The 25,423-nt window shown below is 39.7% G+C and overlaps 1 protein-coding gene across 2 annotated transcripts in view; it reads right to left on the reverse strand.

Moving 5' to 3' along the window:
- Positions 1 to 25,423, reverse strand: part of IMPG1 (interphotoreceptor matrix proteoglycan 1) — a 151,549-nt gene that overhangs the window by 104,699 nt on the left and 21,427 nt on the right. Inside the window, exons 2-4 of one of the 2 annotated variants that reach the window (NM_001563.4) lie at positions 16,081 to 16,314; positions 8,809 to 8,975; positions 8,503 to 8,531 (exon numbers count right to left, since the gene is read on the reverse strand). In NM_001563.4, the coding sequence (NP_001554.2) occupies positions 8,503 to 8,531; positions 8,809 to 8,975; positions 16,081 to 16,314 (430 nt within the window). The remainder of the gene's footprint in view (positions 1 to 8,502; positions 8,532 to 8,808; positions 8,976 to 16,080; positions 16,315 to 25,423) is intronic. The other variant, NM_001282368.2, reaches the window with a different exon arrangement.

Below are 25,423 nucleotides of genomic sequence, written 5' to 3' on the forward strand. Positions count from 1 at the left end.
AGGTTCTCAGTGCCATGGAATGATGATGTGGAAGAGATTCTAGGAGCAGATCCAAGGTCATGGTGGTAGAGCTATTTGTGTATAATATTGGCCCATTCTAACAAGCTTTACTTAGAAAGGAGTAGTGGTGAGAGAGCCAGGTGGGAGGAGGTCCCCCCAAAAACTCCAACTGGCCTGCCCTCAGGGATGGAGCCTTGGGAAGTTTGTGCAGTTTGCAGTGGGGAGGAGCCTGGCCCCTCCTCTTCCTGTGTGGAACCTGGGATTCAAGCTGCATGCGGGAAGCACTCTAGCAGGGACTCTGTGCGGGAAGCACTCTAGCAGGGACTCTGCGCTAGCAAGAGTCCCTATTTTCCCCTTTTCTTCCTTTTCACCCAATAAAACCCTGCTTTACTCACCCTTCAAACCATCTGCAAGCCTAAATTGTCATGGCTGTGGGACAGACAAGGACCTTGTCTTTAGCTGAACTAAGGATAAGTCCTGCAACATTTTTTGGCGCCCAACGTGGGGCTCGAGAAGTGGTGAGTGAAATGGGGACTCAAATCCTCTCGCTGTTGCTTCTAAGCCTTTTCATCCTTGGACTTCTCAGGGTGGGGGAAACCATGCCCCCATACCCCATTGCTCCTGGGCCTTTTCATGGCCCTTTCCTTCCATTCTCAGGGTCAAAAAAGGAGCAGTGAGCAGCAGCTCCCCGCTGCTCTCCCCTCCCTGCTGGGGCTGGGACGTATGGTCCAAGGGTCCCACACAGCTGGCTGGCTTGTTCCCAGCTATGCATCACCACAGCAGCCTTCTGCTTCCCTGGACAAAGGGTTCAGCTCCATCGGACAGTAATTAAACTTTTCTCCCTGGTGGAGGAACTTGCATAAGAGTAAGAGGTTCTTCCCCAGGCATTTTTAAATGTTTTTTTTTCTTTTCTCTTCTCCACCCTGTCTGCAGTTAACCTTTAAAGTTCTTTTTCCCCTTTAGCAGGCCAGACCCCCACCCCCAACAACTATCACTGTGTTCTCTGCAAAGTTTTGGTTGTTAAATCAAGCCTCCATTTTGTTATACATCCTGAGGGCATGGCTTGTAACTCCAGTGGCAAGACTTTGCCTTATGGAATGAGCCCTTTCTGGTTCAATATCTGCATGTTTTTCTAAATCTGTCTCTTAAATAGCCCCATTCAGTGACTAGGTTTTCTTCTGCCTCTCTGTGTGTGTACTGTGTGTAACGTCTGTCAAAGAGCTGTAATTAATTTGGCCTAAAGAAAGACAAGCACTTGGATCTAATTTTTTTAAGGGAAGTTAAAAGCTGTAGTACCTTGCAGTGCATGTGACTTTACTCTTTAAGAAATAAAAACAGCCTTAAAGATTATTGGTAAAATGAAGGTGTCATTAAAATGTAAATAGGTGAACTAAACTATGCAGGTCAGATGCAAGGTTTGCTAAGTGTTTTGAGGTTATAAACTGCTTTTTGGGTTTTGAGAACTGTCTGTCTTGTTGGCTTCACAATAGGTAAGGCCTGGGGACATATGAAATTAATTACACCCTTAACTAAAAAGGCAAACCTCGGCTGCAGTCAGCACACAATTAAAGTAACTTACCAGGTTTTACCTTAAAGTTAAAAATTGTTAGGAGTTAACATTATACCATGTAATTGAAACTACTGAAATTAGATTTACATGTAAGGGGTGTAAGAATAGTAAAATGTGTTTTTATAGTAAAAGGTTATAAGAAGGCATGGAAATGTAAACTTTGGCCTAGGGTTAAAGGATTGTATTAAATTATATAGAAAAAAGCTGAAGGTTCAAAGAAGTGCTGGAAGAATTGTGGAAATTACTCTTGCAGAAGAGGTTCTTTGTGTGAACATATTGACTATTCAAAAAAAGGTATTATATGGTTTTTTCCGTAAATTGAGCATTGAGATAAAACCATAACAAAATTTTCTTCAGGCACTAATCTGCTCTTTGGCAAAATTTGTAAAGGGTTATAAAAGGTTTTTGCTTCTTTAAGATTTTGGAGTCATCATTTTGGCACAATAAATAATTTATGGCTATCTGGAATTATGTTTCATAATATCAAGTGCTTTAGACATATTTAAAAGGCTTCTCAAAATCAAACTTCAGTTTCAAAATTGTCCTTCCTGACACCTGGCTTTTTGGATAGTCCAGAGAGCCCCTAGAATGTCCAGAAAAGAGGTAAGCAGGATTATTCAACATATTTAGGTACCTGGGATTGTCAAAATCATGTTCACTCTTCTTTAGTTCATATCTTGGTAAATAATGCTAATCTATGTTCCAAAATTCTATGGGATTTCAAAAATTCTAATATCTAAATGTATGCTATCAATCATAATTAATGTTGTTAAGTTATTGTAAACCATGGAGATAACCAAATTTGTCAATTGTGTTCCTAACTGTAACTACACTGGACGTTTTGCTATTCACAGACAATTGCTGTCTTGTTTTCATCCTTTTCAAAAGATAGTTTATAATAAGCTGCAGGACTTTAACAGGTGCTCGCAAATACATGATTCTGTTAACTTTGGAGATTGTAACATTGGAATAAAGGAAAATGTACAGGACTCATGAGGAGCTGAAATGCTCACGAATATCAAACCAAACAAGAGTTAATTAAATGGACAGAACTCAGAAAGCTGAAGCAACTTTTGACTTTTTCTTGGAATACTGCTGATCCTTGTTTTATTTTTCAGAGTCAAGGAAACTTATTTTGAACTATTTATAGCCTTTAACAAGTAAGGGCCGGACACGGTGGCTCACGCCTGTAATCCCAGCACTTTGGGAGGCCGAGGCGGGTGGATCACAAGGTCAGGAGATTGAGATCATCCTGGCTAACATGATGAAACCCCGTCTCTACTAAAAAATAGAAAAAATCAGCCAGGCATGGTGGTGGGTGCCTGTAGTCCCAGCTACTCAGGAGGCTGAGGCTTGAACCTGGGAGGCAGAACTTGCAGTGAGCCAAGATCGTGCCACTGCACTCCAGCCTGGGTGACAGAGCGAGACTCCGTCTCAAGAAAAAAAAAAAGTTAAGTAAGGTATACTCCTGGGGTGAAAATTTGGAGCATGCTTGTTTCTCTCTGCCTGGTTCCTTTCGAATTTGGAAACTATCTGTGAGTATTCTTAACTTACGGCAATATAGTTGTTTGCATCAGTGCAATAAGAATCCATTTTTCTTTTGCAACAAGACACAATTGGAAAAATTGGGTATTTTATCAAGGGTTTGACTGAAAGTGTATGCTTCCCTTTAAGGAGTCAATCTCAACTTACAGAACTAATAAAACTCAGTGGGGAAACTGGCCTAATACCCTTGTCTATGCAGTCCCTGTACAGGGTTCTTGACCTATGGTCAGTAAAGAATGTCACTTTCTAACAGGTCCAGGAGCTCCAAGTTTATCTTTGGACCTTAAGAGGAGGGGATCACCCAACTCACAGGCATTTGAGGATACAAACCCAGAGCTGGGATCAGCATTAAAAGGTCTCACCTGAGAGTCCTCGTGGAACAGACTTCCATCAAAGCCAATCCAAAAGGCTTATGTAGAAATAATTATTCTTGCTGCACTTTATGCAAATAATTAGGCCAAGTTTAAAACCAAAGTCTATTTGCAAACAACTCAGTCCTATTATGATTTTGTTTTTAACAAAAATGAGGACTGGAGAGAGGGAAATTATGTTTCAAAACTTATCATACATTTGTCATTAAATTCTAAACTCATTAGTTGTTTTTAAGATTTTGCCTATATTTTAGACTAACCCTGCTTGTTCCTGTGAACCAACCAGCAATCTCTGGCTGCAGCTCAGAAAGAACAAGAGGGATGGGTAATGTAGAAATCTGGATCAATATTCTGGTTCTGAGCAATTATCCTGCAAATCCTGCCAGGTGATGGAATAAATAGGGAATAAATAGGGTGCCCATCACCTGGAGGTTTCATTTTTGGGGAAGTAAAGACCAAGGGAACTAACCAAAGCCAAGCACCATGCACCTAAATTCTAGCAAGCATAACTATAGCTACCAGTTATCTTGGTGTGTCACAAGACATCCTTTTCTCTCCCTTGTTGGAGGACTCACTTCCACAGTTTCACCTTAGCATTTGGCTTTTGATAAGGAGTCCATGTAACCCCCCGAGACATATTTTTGTCCCAAACTCAATTCCAAGCTTTAGGTAAAAGCCCTAGGAAGGAAAACTGGATCTGAGGTATCCAGAGGCAAATTACAACGGAGGTTAAAAGGCACAGTGCAGGTGAGCATGGCTGATTCCTGTCGATTAAGCCAACCCCAAGCTTCCTGTTTCATGGATAAAGGGCATGTTAATATCTATGGTATAAATGAGGTCTAGGGAATTCCAAGGCTACTGACAGTAGCAGGGATAGAGACATAAGGGAGAGCAGATCATTCTTATTCTCTAAGGCCCTCCCTGCTTGATGGGTGTAAGCTGCTTTGGCACTCATGGTGGGACCTGACAAGGTCACTGGGATTCGGGGATGCAAGGATGGAGGAGGGAAAGAGGATGCTTTTCATTCTCTCTCTCATGTATCTTGGGCATATGTTAGGAAGAGAAGGAAACCAGAGATGCTTGCTCCCCTCTTTCTAGATGGGTAGCCATTCATCTTCAGTCTGTACCCCTTTCAAATGCATCCTGAACCCCTGGGAATCCTTTAAAAAATGCCTTTTTCTCCTTTCTCCTCCTCTGTTCTCTCTTCACGGATAGGTAATACGCTCCCCTGAGATGCATCCTCCAAACTGGAAAGAGTTAATTTCCCAAGCCTTAAACTGGTTGTCTTAGGATTGGGCTCAGGGGAAAGGAACCCAGAAGCCCAACATGCTGGCAAAAAGGGCCATCAGACTCCAAACAGTCATGCAACCAGAGCCTCGGACAATGGCCCCTTCTGCTGGGAATCCTTAAATAGGCCTCTGAGGAAGCTCTGACTGCTTTTCCCCAAATCAGCAGCCCCTGTCAGCAGGAAGCAGTTAAGATTGGTCTTTGTCTTTATTCTTAATCCAACAACTGTTAGATGTACTTCTTTAGAGTGGGGAATGAGACAGCCAAGTGGGGAGGGGGTCCCTGGAAAAACTCCATCCAGCCTGTCCACTGGGGTAGAGCCTCTGGAAGTTCATGACATTTGCAGCGAGGAGGAGCCTGGCCCATCCTCGTTTGGTGCGGAACCTGGGATTCAAGCTGTGGGTGGCAAGCAGTCTAGTTAGGTGAGTGTCCCTGCTTCCCCCTTTTCTTCCTTTCCACCCAATAAAACCCTGCCTTACTCAGCCTTCAAACCATCTGCAAGCCTAAATTTTCATGGCTGTGGGACGGACAAGGACCCCAATTTTAGCTGAACTAAGGAAAAGTCCTGCAACAGTGGTAGTAATATCTTCTAAAACTCACTGAAAGGTTTGTTACTATAAGCAAGTAGGTCCCAAAGCATTGTGTCTGTGTTAGTATAATATAGTAGCAGTTGACCATTATATTTGATCTAATTTTCTGTGGCTCATGATGATGGGAAGGCCAAGGGTAATGGCTAGGTGTTCTGTTGTTTTACAGTACAGTTATCTAGAATTAGTCATAGCCAATAGTATCATGTACATATTTCTGCCACACCCAATTCTGCCATATTGTTAATGTGTAATATACAAAATATTATTAATCAGCCTGCCACAGGCTCTGGCCAATCAGAACAGATGTTAGTTGTAAACACAGATGACTACAGTGGTCCACACAGGCCAGATAAAAATTTTGCTGCTATAGTGGAATTTGAAATTAGCTATTCTTGTTATTTTTTTCTGGTATTATACTATGTACTTAATAAATGGTTTTTATGTAGACCATATTTAACAACTCTCGTTATATCAAATATTATAGCACTTATAGCCTAGACAGTTTGTTTTTTACTTTACAGATCTTTGTTTATAGTAAGATCTCCTTCTTGTTAATATCACTTTCATCTCCTTCCCTGTCTTGCTGTAAAAAAAAGTAACCAAGAAGAATAGTTAGTAAAATCCTGGCTATTGCATTAGTTACAAGTCAACAGTCCATTTTGTGCAGGACTCTGTGGGATGACGTTTTCTTGTCCTTTACTAAAAGATGTCATTCTGCCACTAAACTGGCAATCTATACCATCACCGAGGATCTGTAATTTGGGAAGCTGAGCTACTCAGTTCTTCCACTGGCTTTTATTTCAAAGTCATTTGAAACTGGCAGACTTACGGGTTAGTCAGGTGAGAAAATTTTGTTTTGTCTTCTTGGAAAGGTTTAAAGTAAAAGATAATTTCTTTTCTTTCTTTTTTGAAAACAAATTGGTAAACATAGCTAATGTAAAATATTTGTTTCATGTTCCTTTCTTTCTCTCCAGAAATGCTGGCAGGCACAGGAGTAGATGAAATGCTTCTATTTCCTTTTCTTTCTGGCTTGGGTAATTGTTTCTTATAATTTTTAATGGTTGTCTGTCAAGGTTTGGTACATTCTGTTGATTTTTTTTTCTTATGGATGGACCCTGCGTTGCTTTCTTTGTATTTTTTTGAAAATGGAAGAATCAGTAAAGTATTATCCTATATTTAAATGAGAAGAATCAATATGTCTGTGTTTTGTGAGCAAAGGTAATACTCTAGTACTAAGATTTTCCTTAGTCACATTATTTCTCCTGGCAATATCTTTTTAAAATCTATAAAAGAGTGGCTTGATAGACATAATTGATTAACAAAATATATGAGGATTTTGCTCAGTTCTGTATAGTAGGTGGGAAAGTATGAAACAGTTCCTGACCTTGAGGAGTTTATACTCCTACAGGAAAACTGGAGAAAGCAAGAGACTGTTCAATAAAAATACAAGTACCAAACAGAGTACAAAGTTCAAAGCAGGAAGAGATTGCTGCAAACTCAAATAGTCTGTTAAGACATCCTGGTGAGGTGGGATTCCACCTGGAGCTTCAAAGAGAGTAGAATTTGGATAGATGGAGTGGAAAAGGCAGATTCTTCCAAGCAAGAGGGAAAGGCTAGGGTCAGAATCCGAGTGAGTAGGGTGTGGTCGATATGCAGTGAGGAAGAGGCATGGTGGCAGCCGCGGAATCATGGATAATAATAATGGGGGCCAAGTTGGAAAGGTCAGGAGGTGAAAGGTCTGGATTAGTTAGTTTGGCTTCTGCCTCAGTGAAAGTTCTAGCAAGAAACAGATGACTCTCTCATAGTAGGGTAACTTGTGCAAAGTTCACTAAAGGGATTATTTATGAAGTTGTGTGAAGAGTATAAGAGCAACCACAAGGGAGAGTGTAGTACCCCAGAGGTTCAGTAACAGTGGGGTGCTAAAAATATCCTTGGGGCCAGAAGGGGTGAGAGGAGACCAGGAGCCAGACACAGAGAAGGCCCTGTGGAAAGAACAGTCAGGCAGGAACTGAGCTGAAGCTGAAGAAGGCCAATAGGCCTTAAAGACTCTGCAGGTGTGTGTGTAAATTTTCTGCCAGCATTCTCTTCTCTCTCTGATTTCTTCCTCCTCACTGGCTGGCCATAACCAGAAGCCAGAGGCAAGGGATGCCACTGATGCAGTTCTTACCACTCAGCCTCCTGCACACAGACACGGAGGTGGGCTGGAAAAGGTTGGGAGTGGATATTCAGAATGGCAAGAGGAAGATGTAGGAATCTTTTGAAAGCCATTGAACAAGACTCAATGTAATAAAAGGAATATTTCAGACATAAATCTAACAGCAGTTGTGCAAGTTGAGGAGAAGAGGTTAGAAGCAAGGAAATCTGTCAGGGAGATCAGATTAGACATTTTTCACAGAGTATATTAATAAGGTCCTAGACTAGGTTAGTGGCAAAGGGAATAGAAACAAAGGGATAAATGTGTAAGGCATTGTAAAGTATTGTCAGTAATTCATATGGCCAAATTTGCGTCTCTCTTTGTAGTATTATCTTCAGATTTAGACTTCTAAATGTCATAAGATGTATGTAATTTGTGAGTTTAGAGTTTGACAACATCTCTCTTCTTTAATCATTTAATCTAATGAAGTTTTCCTTTTCTCTTTATTTTGTTTTTTGATTTTCTTATTTGATATTCAGTTCTTGTTGAGGATATAACTTAGAGCTTTAGTAATTTAGTTTCAGAGTTATTAACACTTCACAGAATACCAAATGAGAGTTCAAAATTCAAGTTGTTCTTTGATTGTATTAAATATTTTCTTGATGTAACTAATAGTTTACCATAAATTCTAAAAATCAAACTAGTTTAATTTCTCTATTTCTTATAAGTGAAGGTGCACATTAGATACATATCACATAGCAATAAATTCATTTTATGTGCAAACAATGCAAATGTCTATCTAAATCTATAAGGTCTATTTATTTTTGTTTTATGTACTGATTTATCTTCAGTACATTATATGCAGGAATTGTCTGTCAGAATAATCTACACAGCTCTTAGTGGCTGACATAAAATCCTACAGGTAGAATAGCTTAGTTTCACTCCATTATATGATCTTTTTAAATTCAAAAGCACACACACACACACTCTATTTTGGGTACTTGCCTGTCAGGGAAACTTCTCTGTTTTATTCTCTGCAAAAAGATAAAGATAAAATGTAATTTTACCAGGAGATAATGCCAACCGAAGAGTTAAAGTCAATTTTCATTCCCTTCTCCCTTAACCTACACTTCAACCTGACTGTACCATATTATTTTGCAAGAATAAAATTTCTATTGGCCTAATCAGATACCTCCAAGCACTTCTTCAATTAACCCTTACGTTGTGGAAACCAATTCAAAAGGCCTAGGGGCTGGAGCCTGGGAACTGTTCGTGCAGTGTTCCAAATAACCATGTGGTGTTTAGGCTCACCTGCTGGAGAAGATCCAGGTGCTCCTGGGAATTGCTGAAGTTTTTTCCAATGTCAAAGAGGCAGAAGGTCTCCTGCTGGCAGATGCTGACCCAGTCCTGATATTCCCCTGTGTCAGGGATGCGATCCAGAAAGATCCGATATGCTTCCCATACTGCTTCCTGACACACTGTAATACAGAGTCATTAATGGCCATGCCCTAAGAGGGTCCCCGTACCCAATCCCAAGCAAAGTCTAATAACATGGAAAATTATTTCATGGCTTATGTCGACACACTAATTTACAGTCTCTAAAAGTTAATTCATTTAACAAATATTTATTGAGTACTTACTATATGCTATGGAGAAAAAGGAAAGCAAGAAAATAGGGAATATTATGTGCGTGTGTGTGTGTGTGTGCGTGTGTGTGTGTGTGCAAAACTGCAGTTTAAAATAGAGTGGTTGAGGAAGACCTCACTATAAAGGTGACTTTTGAGCCATTTGGGAAAAGTAAAGTCTCCCAGTTTGTGGAGTGCTAGGGGCACTGAAGGAGCAGGGAGGATGTCACTGTGGCCAGAGCAAGGTTGAGAGTAATAGAGGATGAAGATAGAAAGATGTGGCGAGGGCCAGGCGTGGTGGCTAATGCCTGTAATCCCAGCACTTTGGGAGGCTGAGGTGGGCGGATCACCTGAGGTCAGGAGTTCAAGACCAGCCTCAACATGGAGAAAGCTCGTCTCTACTAAAAATACAAAATTAGCTGGGCGTGTTGGTGCATGCCTGTAGTCCCAGCTACTTGGGGGGCTGAGGCAGGAGAATTGCTTGAACCTGGGAGGCGGAGGTTGCGGTGAGCCGAGATCGCGCCATTGCACTCCAGCCTGGGCAACAAGAGCAAAACTCCGTCTCAAAAAAAAAAAAAAAAAAAAAAAAAGAAAAATGTGGCAAGGTGAACACAGATTGTGTAGGGTTTTGCAGACCAGCAGTCTCCAAACTGGAGTGCAGGTCCCCTGGCTGTCCTTGAAGACTTTCCAAGTGATGAGCAGGCACACAATATTTAAAGAGAATCAATTTCCAGGTGTCCATTTTCCTGTGCAGGCTTTCCTAAAATTGGTCTCTCTAAAGACACACCTCTTTGTTAGTACTTCCCTTTTGATCACAATCCTTTCCCCATTCATCCATCCCTATTCTTATTGTGGCACGGTGCCTCTAGGTTATCACACCAAGGAGCAATTTGCAGTAACAATACTGAGTTTGAGAAAGGGAGTGAACTGAGTTGAGGGACAACACACATTTTGGCAGTCTAGGTGATTTATGATTCTTTGCTTTCAACAAATTAAAAGGAGTCCTAATAGGTTGACAGCTGATTGATAGATCATTAAAAATAATGATGACAGATCATGATGTGATTATTGGCATATAATGACAAAGGAATTTAAAGAATAAGAACAGTGCTGTAACAAAACTCCATCTGTTCCCATCTACTTATTTATGTAAAGAAGTTTTCTCAACACCTAACTGAAACTAAGTAAAATAATAGGGATAAAATTGATGTTAAAGTTTTCTCAACACCTAACTGAAACTAAGTAAAATAATAGGGATAAAATTGATGTTAAACTTTGTCTCATTTTAGCAATGCACAATATAAATAACGACTAATTGTATATGAACAATTAGAGGAGCAAAACCAAAGCAATCACTTTGATCCAGAGGCAGAAGCTAAGGAAGCATAAGCTACAGATCCTTTTTTAACACTGATTTCTTCCAAAGCCCTGTTTAGAATATTGCATTTGCAATTTTGTATTTACAAACATTAACACCCACAAAACTTGAATCTCACTCTATATCCATCCATCAATAAAAACTAAAACTATATGTGTTTAGTTTTAATTGATTATATATTTAAAATGATAAATGCAACTGAATCCAGAAGAAATTTCTTTTTACATATAAATCTTATAGTCACAAGAAACAACGTAATTTTAATTTATGTTCATATTTTTGTTACAAAAAAGTATTTTAGAGCAATCAATAACAAATTTTCAAGGATAAACATAAATTACATTAAAATGAGACTCTGAGGAGAAAAGTAGAATGGAAATGTGAATGTGTGGAGAAAAAGTAACCATGTGACATTTCCTACTGTTAAGAAGAATTTGCTCACGTATCTGTTAAAAGAATTTGATGGTAAATATTGAGTGGCTATGGTAGATTCTACTAGATACATGAGAAAGATCCAATTCTAGTTTTATTTTAAATATCAATATTTACAACTCACCAAAAATTACATCCTATTTATTAATTTAAACTTGACAAAAAACTAGATGTCAATGGAAAAGCATGCGAGGGGATTATATAGCTAAAAATTGTTTTAGGGGATTAAGAGAGCAAAAAATGTTGGAAGCCTCCCTATAAGCATTTGTAATATGTTGATTTTTAACTCTAGAGCAATGGAAACAATTGGAGCCTTTAGGGCAGAGGCTGACACCATCTGACTTACTGAAGAAACACTTAAAGAAACACTGCTGTGCTGAGAAAAAGGACCGTGGGGAGGAATAGGGTGAGACGAGACCAATCTGGAGACTCTTATGCCTATATGTTATTCCTTCCTCCCCACTTATTCCATGTCTGGATTTCTCTTAGCTTTCTGTTTTAAGAAGAAAATTCCAGATCAACAGAAGCTCAGGTCATTTACCAGCAGCAACCTGACCAGAACCTTCAAGGTAATTGATCTTTTAATGAGTAACCCACAAAGACAGGAGAGGGTGCAGTCCTGACCACCTCAAATGTGCCATCTGGTTTCTCACACTGGGGGAAATAACAGGGTGTCAACACGTGGGAAGCAATGGAATACCTCACCTTGCAGAATTCATTTTTGTGAACTGTCTACTGCCAGGCAAGGATCAAGAAGTTTTAATGCCTTTTCTGATACAAACCAGCAAGCCGTCTCTGACCCTTCATCTCTGGTCAATAGTCTACATAATATACAAGAAGGAAACAACACTTGGATGTTTTCAGATTTGTCCAGACCCTAACAGTTGTATGTCCAGTCTAAGCAAACCAGCTGCCTTTGCTAGCCTTCTTTCTTACATATTCCACACTCTCTCTGGGGATGTTATTTTGTGGCTACTTCAATTCAAAACCAGTATAAGTGTCAGAGATACAACAATACATAAAATAAACTAGCACTGTCTTTGGTGACTTTCATGGACAATATCTAAGTGTTGGTGACTTTCATGGACAATATCTGTGTGTGAAACATCGGGGAAGATATTATGTGACAATCTCTTCTGTTTACAAGTTAGGCACAACCTTGAGTGTGTTGCTTTTGGTCTCCGATTAAGACTTGCTTTTATTTCATTCCAATTTAAGTCTTGAACTAATTGTGTTCTTCGTTGAGCCTAGCTGCTCCCAGTTGAGCCCAAACTCAGACTGGCAGGCATCATAACTGATGCAGACAGATGTATACAGAAGTTCATTTTCCTGGGTGCTATGTAGCCTGAGGATGCATCATCAGTTATGCAGAGATTTCTGCAGGCAGTCCCTGTCATATGGCTGCGGGGACTGAGGTTGAGCAGTCAAATAAGAGGTACTATTTTTGTTGTGTGCATCTTCCTAGTTCTGCTCCTTTCCCTGATGTTCTTTCTCCTACCACAGGACACAGAACTACTCAAAACCTTCCATAAGGGCCCTGAAAGAATCTTCTTTCTAGAGCATAATGTCTGAAGTTGCTTGAAAAATTATCTCCCTGTGACATTGTAGTTTATGGGAATCATAATGTTAAGGATGAAATCTCAGACTCTTTCTGAGGGGCAGGCTTTCTTTTTTTGTGGCTCCTCTGATGTTATTTTTCTCTTGGAAGCTTCTCACAAGCCAGGAGGCATAGACTCTTTCCATGATTGGAATCACCAGCCCACTTACCCACCAGGATAGTCCCCCATCCTTACTGGGGAAGTATCAAAAAAACCCTTGAAAATTGAGGCATCAAAGGACCTCAGGGCTGGGAGGGACCTGAAAACTTCTCAAAATTGGATTTTTGTAAACCTTTGATTTACCTGTTCTGTACTATCCTCCTTTGAACCTGCTGGGAGGGACTGCCACAGTGATTCTAGAGAAATCCAGCACCTTGGCCTCACTCCCACCCCAGTCTTCCCACAGTTGCCGGCCAATGCCTGAAATCTGATCACAGAACATCAGCTTCTCTGTCAAAGGTCATATCCTAAGTCATTTGATGATGCAGGAAGAACCCCAGGGAGCACATACCCTGGAGGCCAGGCATGGCAGTCTGTAATTGGAAGTCCTGGCCTGCAGACAGTTATTCGCAATTAGTATTGTTAGACCAATGGTATGTGAAAATGCACAGTACAGGGTTGTGCACACATTAGAGGGTGAAATAACACACTGAAATGGGAATCAGGACACTGAGTTCTACCCCCGTTCTGCTGCCAGCTGTTCCCCTGAACATGCCATTTTACTTCATCAGATCTCAGTTTTCTTATCCGTACAACGGGAGTGTTGGCTAGATGTTCTCTAGATTAGTGCTTCTAGAACTTTAAAGTACAAATGAATTTTACCTGGGGAACTTGTTAAAATGCAGATTCTGACAGTAGGTCTGGGGTGGGATGTATGATTCTGCATTTCTAACAAGTTTCCAGGTGGTGGTGATGCTGTTGATCTGCAGACAACATGGAGTAGAAAGAACTAGGACCCTATCCATCTTTAACCTTCTCTAAGGCACACTTAAATGTGAAAGAAAGATCTAGCTGTTTTTTTTTTTTTTTTTGGGACGGAGTCTCACTATGTTGCCCAGGATGGAGTGCAGTGACGTGATCTTGGCTCACTGCAACCTCCGCCTCCTGGGTTTGAGCGATTCTCCTGCCTCAGCCTCCTGAGTTGCTGGGATTACAGGCGTGCGCCACCATGCCCAGCTAATTTTTGTATTTTTAGTAGAGACAGGGTTTCACCATATTGGCCAGGCTGGTCTTGAACTCCTGACCTCAGGTGATCTGCCTACCTCGGTCTCACAAAGTGCTGGGATTACAAGTGAGAGCCACCCACCTGGCCAAGGCCTAGCTTTTGATGTTGGGTATGGGAGGCAGAGAGGGAGGGAAATAGAGGGAGAGACACAGGTGAGGTGACGGGGATCTGAAGGGAGGCATCTGTATAGCAGGAAATTTGGCTGGGGCACAGAGTTCAGCCTGTAGATTAGCAGAAACACACTTGCCTCTTTTGCATTTGGGCTTTGAGATAAGCACATTTATGATTCTACCACAAAGCTCAGAACATTTCACTGCGTTGCTTTTAAGCCCTGGGAAATGAAATAATTCAATGTTCCATTTGATTTGGGAATATGAGTGCTTTCTCTCCTAAGTTTGAAAGATGTCAATGGATAATTTTGTAAAAGTAGCAACAAGAACAGTAAGTGGGTCTCTCTGTCAGAGGAAAACCGCTTTGTAGCTGGGTCTTATTTCTTGTTTCTTTGTGAACCAATTTGTTCGACTTAAGAAACCCATGCTGATGAATAGTAAAATTTCATATTACCTAGGGGCAGCCATAAAGATAATGGACTGTCATTGCTGTGGGGAGAAAAACAATGGTTTGTTTCATCCAGGGAAACAAGAATGAAAGAGGCAACCTAATCAAGAATAAAGAGCTGAGAATAAAAATTCAGAGCTAAAAATTTTGTTGCAGCAATAAATAGGGTATTCCAAATACTTCCAGTGAATCCTATTTGTGAATGTTGTAAAGAATTAGAAGTTATGTGAAAATAGGAATAGTTGCATTCATATTCAGTGTGATGCAAATACTGTATGTACGTCCATCCCTGAGCAAACGATATGGAATTTACCAGGGTCATTATCTGATCAATGTGTAGGCACACTCGAAATTAGTAATTTACTCATGTCACTGTCTTTTCTCTATTTTCCCAATGGGCTCTTTGCATTCTGTGTCCACCAACAAGCATTGGCTAGTACCTGCTCTGTGGAGATGCCCTTCTAGGACCTTAGAATAGTAATATAGTGCCCTTGATTTTCTACAGTGAGAGTCCTCTTTCAGACTGTGATCCAGTAGTTTTCACTTTTCTATGGGTGTGGCTTCTTTCAGAAAGTGAATATCTTTTTACTTCCACAGAAAATGAGACACATAAGGAATATAAGACTTGATATTTTTGAAACTGTTAGTTAATTATGCTTCCAAAACCCAATAATAACTCTTCAGATTAATTTAACTTGGGCACATCTAACAAAAATAGACATCCAAGAAGTTTTCTGGATGTTGGTATTGTGAAATGGGTACTCAGTTGTCATAGTGTACAACACATCACAGGCTGGAATTGAACAAGCTTGCTCCAGTAGATGGGCTTTAAATAAAGCAGGGTGGCTCTGCTTTTTGCAATGGAAGCAAACATCTAGTGTGATCAAGATAGAAATCAGTAAAACTCTCAACTTTCGCATGTAAGATAAATTGAATTTAAGACTCAGAGAGACAAGATATTTTGCATTATTTGGAGCCACCTGGGGAATTTTAATAGTAGCTACCAAAGATTTGTTTTTTTTTCTTTTAAAAAAGAAGCCATGAGAATTTTGTCATCCATAGGAAGTTAGTGAAAAGATAGTCACTGATGGCTGTGCTGTGATTAACTCCTTAATGGTTTCTGGCAATGCCATCAGAATCCTGTGAAGCAGTCTTGGGGTAAAAAGTGGACTGTGACTCTGCTGGAAACCACTGTAATTGTGTTGTAAATTCTGCTAACACTCTTGCATTATATCTTGGTAACCACTCTTTATTTGTTTCTCCTCTGCACTTCAATGTGCCTCTAGGTTTCCAAACTTTAAAAGTTTCTGCTGGATCATCAATACACAAACTTATAAGAGGATCTGGATTGTAATGTTGCTTTTGAAAAATGAAATCTTAAGTCATGAATCAATTTGCTTAGATTCCTGACATTGCAATCATCCTGTACTTCTTACCCATATGAACAACATTAAAATGGAATATTGAGCATTGGCAAAAATAAAAAATAAAGGGGTAAAATCTGGATGCCAAGGTTTTCTGGTGATTTCTAAATGCCCTATTGGTTCTATGCTGCACAAGATATTATTTTAAACCATAAGAGCTGATATCTACCATAGTTTTGAATGTTTATTATTCATTACTATCAGATTATCACTAGGTTGATTTTTATAATTCTTGTGGCTAAATGACAGAACTGGAAGTTTTAGGCTAAAGACAACCTATGGATGAATGAAAGGGAAGGGATGGAAATAACACAAGGCTAAACGGTTTCATCTCTTTCCTTACCTCTCAATCTATAATAAGCTTGAAGACTGTCTAAAATCTGTTTCATGGATTCCTGTGGACAGACTTTAACCCCCGTTGGGAAAAATGCGGATCTTTTTGTTCGATGCTTTGCCAAATCGAATATTCGTCTCATAGTTGACATTTTGTACATTTTTTCAGTACTTTCAGTTGTTTCATTTCTTGGGGGATTGTCTATGTCTTTAGTTTCAGAATGGTATATGTTAATGGAGATATCTGTAAAAGAAAGATTGATATCCTGGTGAATATATACATTTATGTGTTATATGTGACATATATGGATAAATGACTGAAATAAACTGAAAATTATAATCCTTTAGTTTATGAAATTTCTACCGTGGTGCAACTGCTAAACGTAATATTCCAAATGACAAGGCATTTTCAGAAATAAGAGAATAGTATAATGAGCCGATCAAGCGTATTTTTAAAAAGCCAATGTCTCAAATCATCTTGCCTTTAGGAACTGCCAAATATTGAAACCATTTCCCACACATCTTTCTAAAAATCACTCCCCACTTAGCACTCAAGCCTCTCAAGAGATGTCTCTTATGATAGATAATATAATTCAAGCAGGGAACGATATAGCATTGTGGTGCCCAGAGGTGTACTGTTGAGGAAGTGGAGTGCTTCTAAAAACCTAGCGGAACAATGCAACAAAATAACCTTCCTGCCTATTAGTGGTAGCCCTAGGAATTCTATATGGGCAGGGCTCAGAGCATGGCAATCTGGCTGAGAGTGGATTGGAGCAAGGATGTATCTTATAGTTGCATTTATAGTACAAGCTTTGCCGTTTCATGAAGGATGGTGAGAGGAAGGATAAAGGGGGAGGCTTCACCCTTCCCAACAAGGGGGAGGCTGGCAGAGAATGTAACTCTCTTCTAAGCCATTTCATCCTGCTGGCATGGCTGGTATCTATTAGGGTTAGGTCTAGACTGCATTTTTAACTTTCTGGACCTCTCATAATAACTTAGATTCATCAAACACTTTTTAATTTTGAATTTTTATATGTATTACCTCATATCCTCACAAAAGCTTTACTACATCGATGAAACATATCATTTTTCTCAGTTCATCAGCATTTAGGGTACTGAGGCTCAGAGTGGCAGTGTGTGTTAACAGTGTAGTAAGATCTAAGTTACATATAAATGTGAAAGAAAGACCTAGTTTTTGATGTTGGGCTTGGGAGAAAGAGAGAGAGAAGGAAAGAGAGAGTGGCAGAGAGTGTTAACAGTGTAGTCAGATCTCAATTCTTCCTCTTCTACTCCATCTCTTTCCTTTTATCCATTCTACCATTAAAAAAAAAATTACCGATGAACAGTTGGGACCTCTTACTATGGCCTCTTGAGACTCCAAACATGGGGCTTATAGAGATTTATAATCCCATTTTACTAGGGAAGGCTCTCAAACCCATATCTTCTGAAATGTGATAAAAGGGGAATCCAAGCAGGATAGCTGAAGAGCAATTTAAATCTTGCTGTAAAGCATAAAAGTCCCTCAATATTGTAGAGGGTGGAGAAAGTCCGCCTGGGAACACATATTCCTGTCACTTTGAGAAGTCTCAGAGTGCCCTGTGTTCCTCTTGGGCAGAGGTACATTCTTAGGAAAGAATCTCCAGGAAGGGAGGAAATTTATAGATTAATTGGCTCACCCAGCGACACACTAGACCCATAAATCATAATCTCTGTGTAGAATACGGGCATCAGCAAATTTTGAAAATCCTTGGGTAATTTCAACATGCAGGCAGGTTTGGGAATCACTATTTTATAGATCTACTAACATGCTTCCAGATAAAGAATCAAGATGGGTGCATCTCAAACTGGCTTACACAGTAAGAAAGTTGTCACCTCCAAAGGAAAGCCAGAGGCAGGGAATGCCTGGTGGAAATGGAGGTCTGGCTCTGACTTGTCTGGTTCTGTCCCTTCATGTGGTGATGTCATCCTCGGGCAGGCTTCCATCAAATTCCCCTGATGATGGCCAGCAGCAACTGGATCACCACCTTGACTCTCATTCATGTTGAAAAATAGCCTTTCCCTTAGGTTTGGCTGACTTAAGCCATGTGCCTGGAGCAAGACCAGTTGCAAGGCATATGCCAGTGCTATCGGCTTGATCTGAATAATTACAAGGCAGGGAACTGGGATTACTTGAAGTGGCTCATTCTAACCATGGAGTTGGAACCAGTTTTTCGTGAGTCAAAATGGCTGCATGGCAAAGTGAAAGGTGCCCATTCAATCTAGGGGCAAAGTGCAAGAGAGGGATAGGAGCCGAGCACACAGCTGTTAGTACCCATTACAGTTAGTAAAATGTGAATTTTTGTTTAGGAATATTAATTTTAATAATCCTTTCAAGCAGTTTATAGATTGCAATAAACTTGTCATAGTAAAAAGTAAGTTTTTGTTATATTTGAATTGCCATTTAGAATGGAAGAAAAAGCTGCCTCATTGGGTACTTCTAGGTCTAGGCAGTGTAACACAGACCATATTTAGGGAGACTGTGCCCCTACATGCCTGCCCTTCTCCATTCTTCTCACTGTGCCTGCCTGTAATGTGTGGGGTCCTGCTATCGGCCTGGTCCTGTTCCGTACCTTGTCATCACCACAGTCTTTGTTCCTTTGGGGCTGGTCCTGTTCTTACTGCCTAATGTTATGCCCTGTAGAACTCTATGAGTAACTTGGCTTGGGAAGAGTATCTACTCTACCCTGGCTCTGGGAACAATGTTGCTGTCCTGGAATTTTTTTCCAGGTGGATCCTTTTGGATCCTAACACTTTGCGCATATCCAGGCTCGCTGACAGAGATCCTATTTGATATGAGTCTTTAGGTTTCATCCTATCAGGGTAGGTAACTTGACTTGGGAAGAGTATCTACTCTACCCTGGCTCTGGGAACAATGATGCTGTCCTGGAATTTTTCCCAGGTGGATCCCTTTGGATCCTAACAGTTTGTTAATATCCAGGTTCACTGACAGGGATCCTATTTGATATGGGTCTTTACGTTTTATCCTATCGGGGTAGGTGCAGAAGCAGGGGCGAGAAGGTCACAGATTTGCCCTGTTTCTCAGCACGTCCATGAGCTCCCACTTTTCCCTTTCCCCTACTAGGGTCAGTATTTCCCTATTCTCCACATGTCAGCAAGTACACACAGCTGGGGGTCTACAAGGGTGAATTAGGGTAATGTGAACCCATTTGCCTGGGATACCCCAGTTTATAGCTGTTATTCTTTCATTCTCAAATGTGTCCCTGTTTGGGAAATAAATTATAAGGTCACCCAGTTTTAAATATCTCCTGCTGGAGAAGACCCAAGACAAATGTTCTACAAATGGTTGTTTCTTTCCTCTAGGATGTACCATGTTCCACTTTTGAGTATCTCCACTTAACAAATTCCTTCCTTTGGGTTGAAAATTACTTTCTGATAACTTTCACATCAGTCCTATTTCTGTCGTCTGGTGCAGCGAACACCAAGCTACAACTACTTCCATAAACACTTCCTCATATTTTTCCTACTTTAGGTTCTCTTGGCTGAACAAACAACCTCCATCTTTTTTTTTTTTTTTTTTTGGTATAACACAAATATTAGATACCTTGACTACTCTGTTTCTGTGACACAAAACCAACCACAGAGAACCCCCCTGTGATGATGCTACAGCTTGAGCTGGGATTAGAATCTTTTGTCTATGCCTCTGCCCCATCCTCACTAGAGATGAGGTGAGAGATCAGGAACTTAGGATCACTTGAGTCCAAGGATGACAGGCCACAGTGACAAAGTCTGTTTGTTACAGATTTCAGTGAAATAAAAAGAGCTGATAGTTGTTGGAGCTAATGAAAGCACCCTTGAGTAAGGCAATTAGACCAGATCAGATGCTGTTCTCCAGTCCTGCATAAATTGTAATGTTGTTACTGAACTGAACTTTTAAAGATTCTTTGGGTCACTTTTATGAGTTTGATATTTTTGGTTTATATAAGTATTTGAAAAGAGGAGGTGAAAATTTAATGAGAATGAATTGATAGTTGGAAGACTTGCTACAAAATAGAGTATATTTAATAAAAGACTGGAAATTTTTTTGAGGCAGGAAATCTCTAAGATGATGACAAAATGAGTGTAACCTACTTGATGATGAATTGGCTGCCATCAACAACTGTTTCTGAATAAAATTCAAAGTTACAAAGAGAAGGGCAAAGTGATTTCAGAAAAAAAAAAATAACCACCTTTACTTTAAGTTGAAAATTACTTTCTGATAACTTCCATATATCAGTCCTATTTCTGCCCTCTGGTATAGCAAACACCAAGCTACAGCTACTTCCAGAAACACTTCCTTATATTTTCCCTACTTTAGGTAGTTCTAAAAAGCGTATTGGAGTAAAATAATATTAGAACAGTTTAATTAAATAAATTATGAATTAAGAAAAAAATATAATTGTACTATTTTAAATTATAGATTAAACACTAGGAAAACAACCTTTAAGCCAATAGGTTTTGGAAATAGTCATATCATTGAATAAAGAAAAGATAGAAATGGAAAGTAATACATTTGAATATTCAGAACTTCTAAGTACAGATGAGGAACAGCTGTAATACACATGGTGCTTACTTTCTGAATTTAACTTAAATATGTTCATTACTTATGAAAGAAAAAGGTAGTAGCAGCACAAATCATATAATGTCACTCAACTATTCAAAATGTTTTCATAGAACCAATGGTACACAGGGCCTGGAGCTGTCACTAGTTGTATAATGTGGGTGTACTTGACATCCAAGTACATCCTGAGTTTCTTCACCTATAAAATGGGGAATAATAATACCTCCCTTACAGGGTTTCTGTGATATTAAATGAGTTATAACATGGGCAGCAGCTAAAACAGTGTAAGACACAGTGTAAACGCTCAATAAGAACTCCTTTATCAGATAATCGAGACATTTCACTTGCTGGTATCACTCTTCCTTTCCTTACCCCCCTTTTCTTTTAGTAAGATCTCTAAAGCTTTATTCAAAATTTTCATTAGTCAGTAGAATAACATTTTATAAATCAGTGAAAACCTGTACCTACAAAAATTATAAAATAAAATATCAGCAATAGCATGAAATCACACAGTGTAAAATTAGACATATTTAGAACTGGTTTGTGGGAAAAATGCACCTCACAAGTTTTCTTAATATGTCATGGGTTAGATAGAGTGTTTTTGTTACCAGCATAGCTTAGCTCTTATTCCCACTCTGCCCTACCACTCTTCTTTTCTAACATACCCTTTCACTGTGCTATTCCTCAGTCCTCAGACAGAACTATGTCTATGCCCTGAAGTCTTCCTGCTTCCACACTGCAGTGCTCATCTTGTGTTTGTCTTTCATATGGGAGGGCCCTTCTCTTCCTTCTCTGTTGTTTTCCTACTTTTCTTTTAAGAGCCAGTGAAATGTTACATTCTCCACTATGCTTTCTCAGATCCCACATTCAGAATTCATTCATTGCTCCCTCCTGTTCCTCCAGGGTGGTTCATATCTCTATGGCATTCACTGATTCACCTGTATTCACTAAGCGACTACTGTTTCAGGTCCACTATGGGACATAGCTGTAAATGAGATAAACAAATGCCATGAAACTTGTGTTGTAGTGCTTCCTTTGTCCTGTCTTGAATACTAATTTGTTGTAAATATATGAGTTTCTCCCTTTAGACTGCAAATACCTTTGGGATCTGTATTGTAATCTTGCCCTCCCCTCTCCAGTTCACCTTGGTGCTTGCCTAGTACAATGTTTTGTACATGACAGAGATGCAATACATATTAATTAAGTGAATTAATGAAAAATGTGTGTGGAAATATTAATGGGATTTTTAGAATATATATATGAATTAGATTTGTTTTAAAAACCATTAGACTATGAAAAAATGCTTCATGTCTTGCCCGCATCCATTATTGCAACTCCTCTTTGAAATTTCTGTCCTCTTTTTAAGTATCTAATATCAGAGGCTTAGGACACAGTCATCTTATTAAAGATAATATCCTAAGTGAAAAGGCAAATAAAAATTCTTTTCTAAATAAACACCAAAAGACCAGAAAAGAGATGGTTTATATATAAAGTATATTTTAGTACAATCTGCATTCCCAGACACTTTCAATCTTTCCATAAGTAAATAATCAATGGGACCAATTAAATATGTGGAGATCAATGAGGAAGACTATCATTATTACCTGGCTCTTGAGGATGGCAACTCCCTTGCCCCTCAATTATTGTACTTGACAGGCAAAGCCATAATCATGGTTAAATTCAACCCACTGCCTACCCCTTACCTGAATCTTTGTATAGCTGATCATGGCTGGAGAAAAACAAGCATTAGAACACACTTTAAATTTCTGGTCCTTAAGTAAAATCACACTATATTTCTCTAGTCTGACTCAGTTTTGTACTGTCCTGGGGAGCTACACACTTTTCTCAGATTTCTGGTACCTTCTTGCTGATTCTTTCTCTTAGCTGATGAGTTTGCTTCACATTTTACTGAAAACAAGAGGAGCCAGAAGAGAACTTCCCAAGCATCCAGCACAGCATCTGCTCACTGATCACTGGCTGCGTCTGTGATCATAGTCTATGCTTTGCCTCCTGTGACTATTTGATGATTGGTCTGTGCTCCTACTTAAGACCAACTCTCCACTTAGGCAGCAGGTCCCATCCTTTTTCACCTTTCAAGAACATTCTTCCAGAAACTCTTCTCTCACTTTCCTACATCATTTTCCCTTTTGCTATTGGATTATTTCTAGAAGCACACAAACACGCTATTATTTTACCTCTATTAAAAAAATCCTCTCTCTATAGCATGTTTCCTCCAGATACTAGCTCATTTTTCTGTTTACACTGACGCAAAACTATTTAAAAAGATCTGGCTTTTTGGTGTGGCAATTCCTCAAAGACCTAAGGACAGAAATACCATTTGACCATTTGACCCAGCAGTCCCATTACTGCATATACCCAAAGGAATATAAAGCATTCTGTTATAAAGGCACATGCATGCGTATGTTCACTGTAGTATTGTTCACAATAGCAAAGACATGGAATCAACCTAAATGCCCATCAGTGATAGACTGGATAAAGAAAATGTGGTACTTATATACCATGGACTACTATACAGCCATAAAAAGGAATGAATTCATGTCCTTTGCAGGGACATGGGTGAAGCTGGAGGCCATTATCCTTAGCAAAGCAATGCAGGAACAGAAAACCAAATACTACGTGTTATAAGTGGAAACTATATGATGAGAACACATGGATACACAGAGGGGAACAACACATGCTGGGGCCTATCAGAGAGTGGAGGGTGGTTGGAGGGAGAGGATCAGAAAAAATAACTATAGGATACTAGACTTAATAGCTGGGTGATGAAATAATCTATACAACAAACCTCCATGACACTGTTTTCCTATATAATGAACCTGCAAATTTACCCCTGGACCTAAAAGTTAAAATAAAAAAAGATTTGTCTTTCCCTCCTTTTCCAAGACAAAAGCAAGGTCCTAGTGAGTGAAGATTTCCTCTGATACCACATGCATAGATACCAATACCTGCCCCCTACCTTTATTCTCTCTCTCTCTGTCTCTCTCTCTTTCATTCTCTTTATATTTTAGTATTTGTGATGTGCTTATAGAGCCTGGTGTATTCAATGTGTGGATATGACACTTCACCAGAAGGTGTGACTATCTAACACACAATATACAGAAAGTGACAGTAAACTAAAACTCCACTGATCGCTTCTGTGAATTTGGATATTGACATTTGTTGATAGGGGTGGTGGTGAGGGTGGTGGTTTTGTAACAAAACAGACAATTTGGGAAAAGGCAGAGATCTAGCACAGTAGGATGGGCTCCCTTGAGCTGGGAGGGTCTTATGAAAGACCTGGCAGGTAGAAAGTATTTAGGGGGGCATAAAGGAGGACAAGATATTGGTGGGCAGGGAAACTTCTAGCAGACTAAGGAAAATGGTTGGCACCGAAGGCTTAAGTTGGGGAGGTTGGTGTTATTTATTTATTTATTTTCCTTTTAAAATTTAGCCACTCTATCCTGGAGCTGACCTAGATTCTGCAACCCAGTGTAACTATGATAATTTTGGAAATTTCCGAATATATAGACAGGGAAATTAAAGGAACAACCACTGAATTTAAACACTTTCAAACATTACTTTATCCTAAAAAACAGTCAAATCTGCCCAAGGATGTGAGTGGCAGTTCTGAAATACTGGGCTTTTGACTCTTCGTTTATAGTTTAAAAATTAGGTTTGGGCCGGGCACAGTGGCTCACGCCTGAAATCCCAGCACTTTGGGAGGCTGAGGTGGGTGGATCACTTAAGGCCGGGAGTTCGAGACTAGCCTGGCCAACATGGTGAAAACCCATCTCTACTAAAAATATAAAAAAAATTAGCCAGACACAGTGGCGCACCCCTGTAATCCCAGCTACTTGGGAGGCTGAGGCATGAGAATCGCTTGAACCTGGGAGGCGGAGGTTGCAGTGAGCAGAGATCGTGACACTGCACTCCAGCCTGGGTGACAGAGTGAGACTCCTTCAAAAAAAAAATTAGGTTTGGATCACCTAAGCATGTTTATTAGCTACTGTGAAAGCCAGCCCTTTGGTCAAAGTACCATTTTCACTCTAGGTTGAAGGCTGATGGCCATGTGACCACAATGTTGACTGGCATCCCTGAAGACATAGGCCACATCATCTCCTTGTCATATCACTGAAGAGCTTATTATTTTTTTCCTTCCAGTACCAAAGTTGGCTTCTAGACATAGGCTGCTTACAAAGTTTCTATTTCAGGCTCAGCTTTGCCCACAAGTCATTCTCTTTCTTGGCTACATATTCAAGTGGATACTTACCAACCTGTTTGGACCATTCCTCACCAAACTCTTCTAGAGGAAATTTTTTTTAGCTATTTAACCTTGTAGGCATACAGAGGCTTACTGTACACATACAGTGGCAATAGTAGACATCAGGGATAAGAGAATCAGGCTTTCATGGTAGCATTGCTATGAAAGCAACAGCCATTGGTATAAGCACTTAGCAAACCCATTATGTCTTCCTAGGGGAAAAGGTCTCAATGTCTTAATGAATAAATTAGCACGACCAGAGACAAAATTCACTGTAATTTCTACAGAACAAAAATCATAATTTGAGGAACAGAACTCTATAGAGAGTAAGTAGGTAACATTTCAGCACCAATTCAATGACTGGAAGTTAAAAAAAAAACACAATTTAATCTTTCCCAAATTTTTCTAACCTTACTAAAAAAAGTGAGGGACTATGGTGTTTCTGCAAATGTTTCTCTTGTTTGAGATTCATTATGCCCTGGTCCTCCCACTACA

The sequence above is a fragment of the Homo sapiens genome, chromosome 6 (genome assembly GCF_000001405.40).
Source record: "Homo sapiens chromosome 6, GRCh38.p14 Primary Assembly".
NCBI lineage: Eukaryota > Metazoa > Chordata > Mammalia > Primates > Hominidae > Homo > Homo sapiens.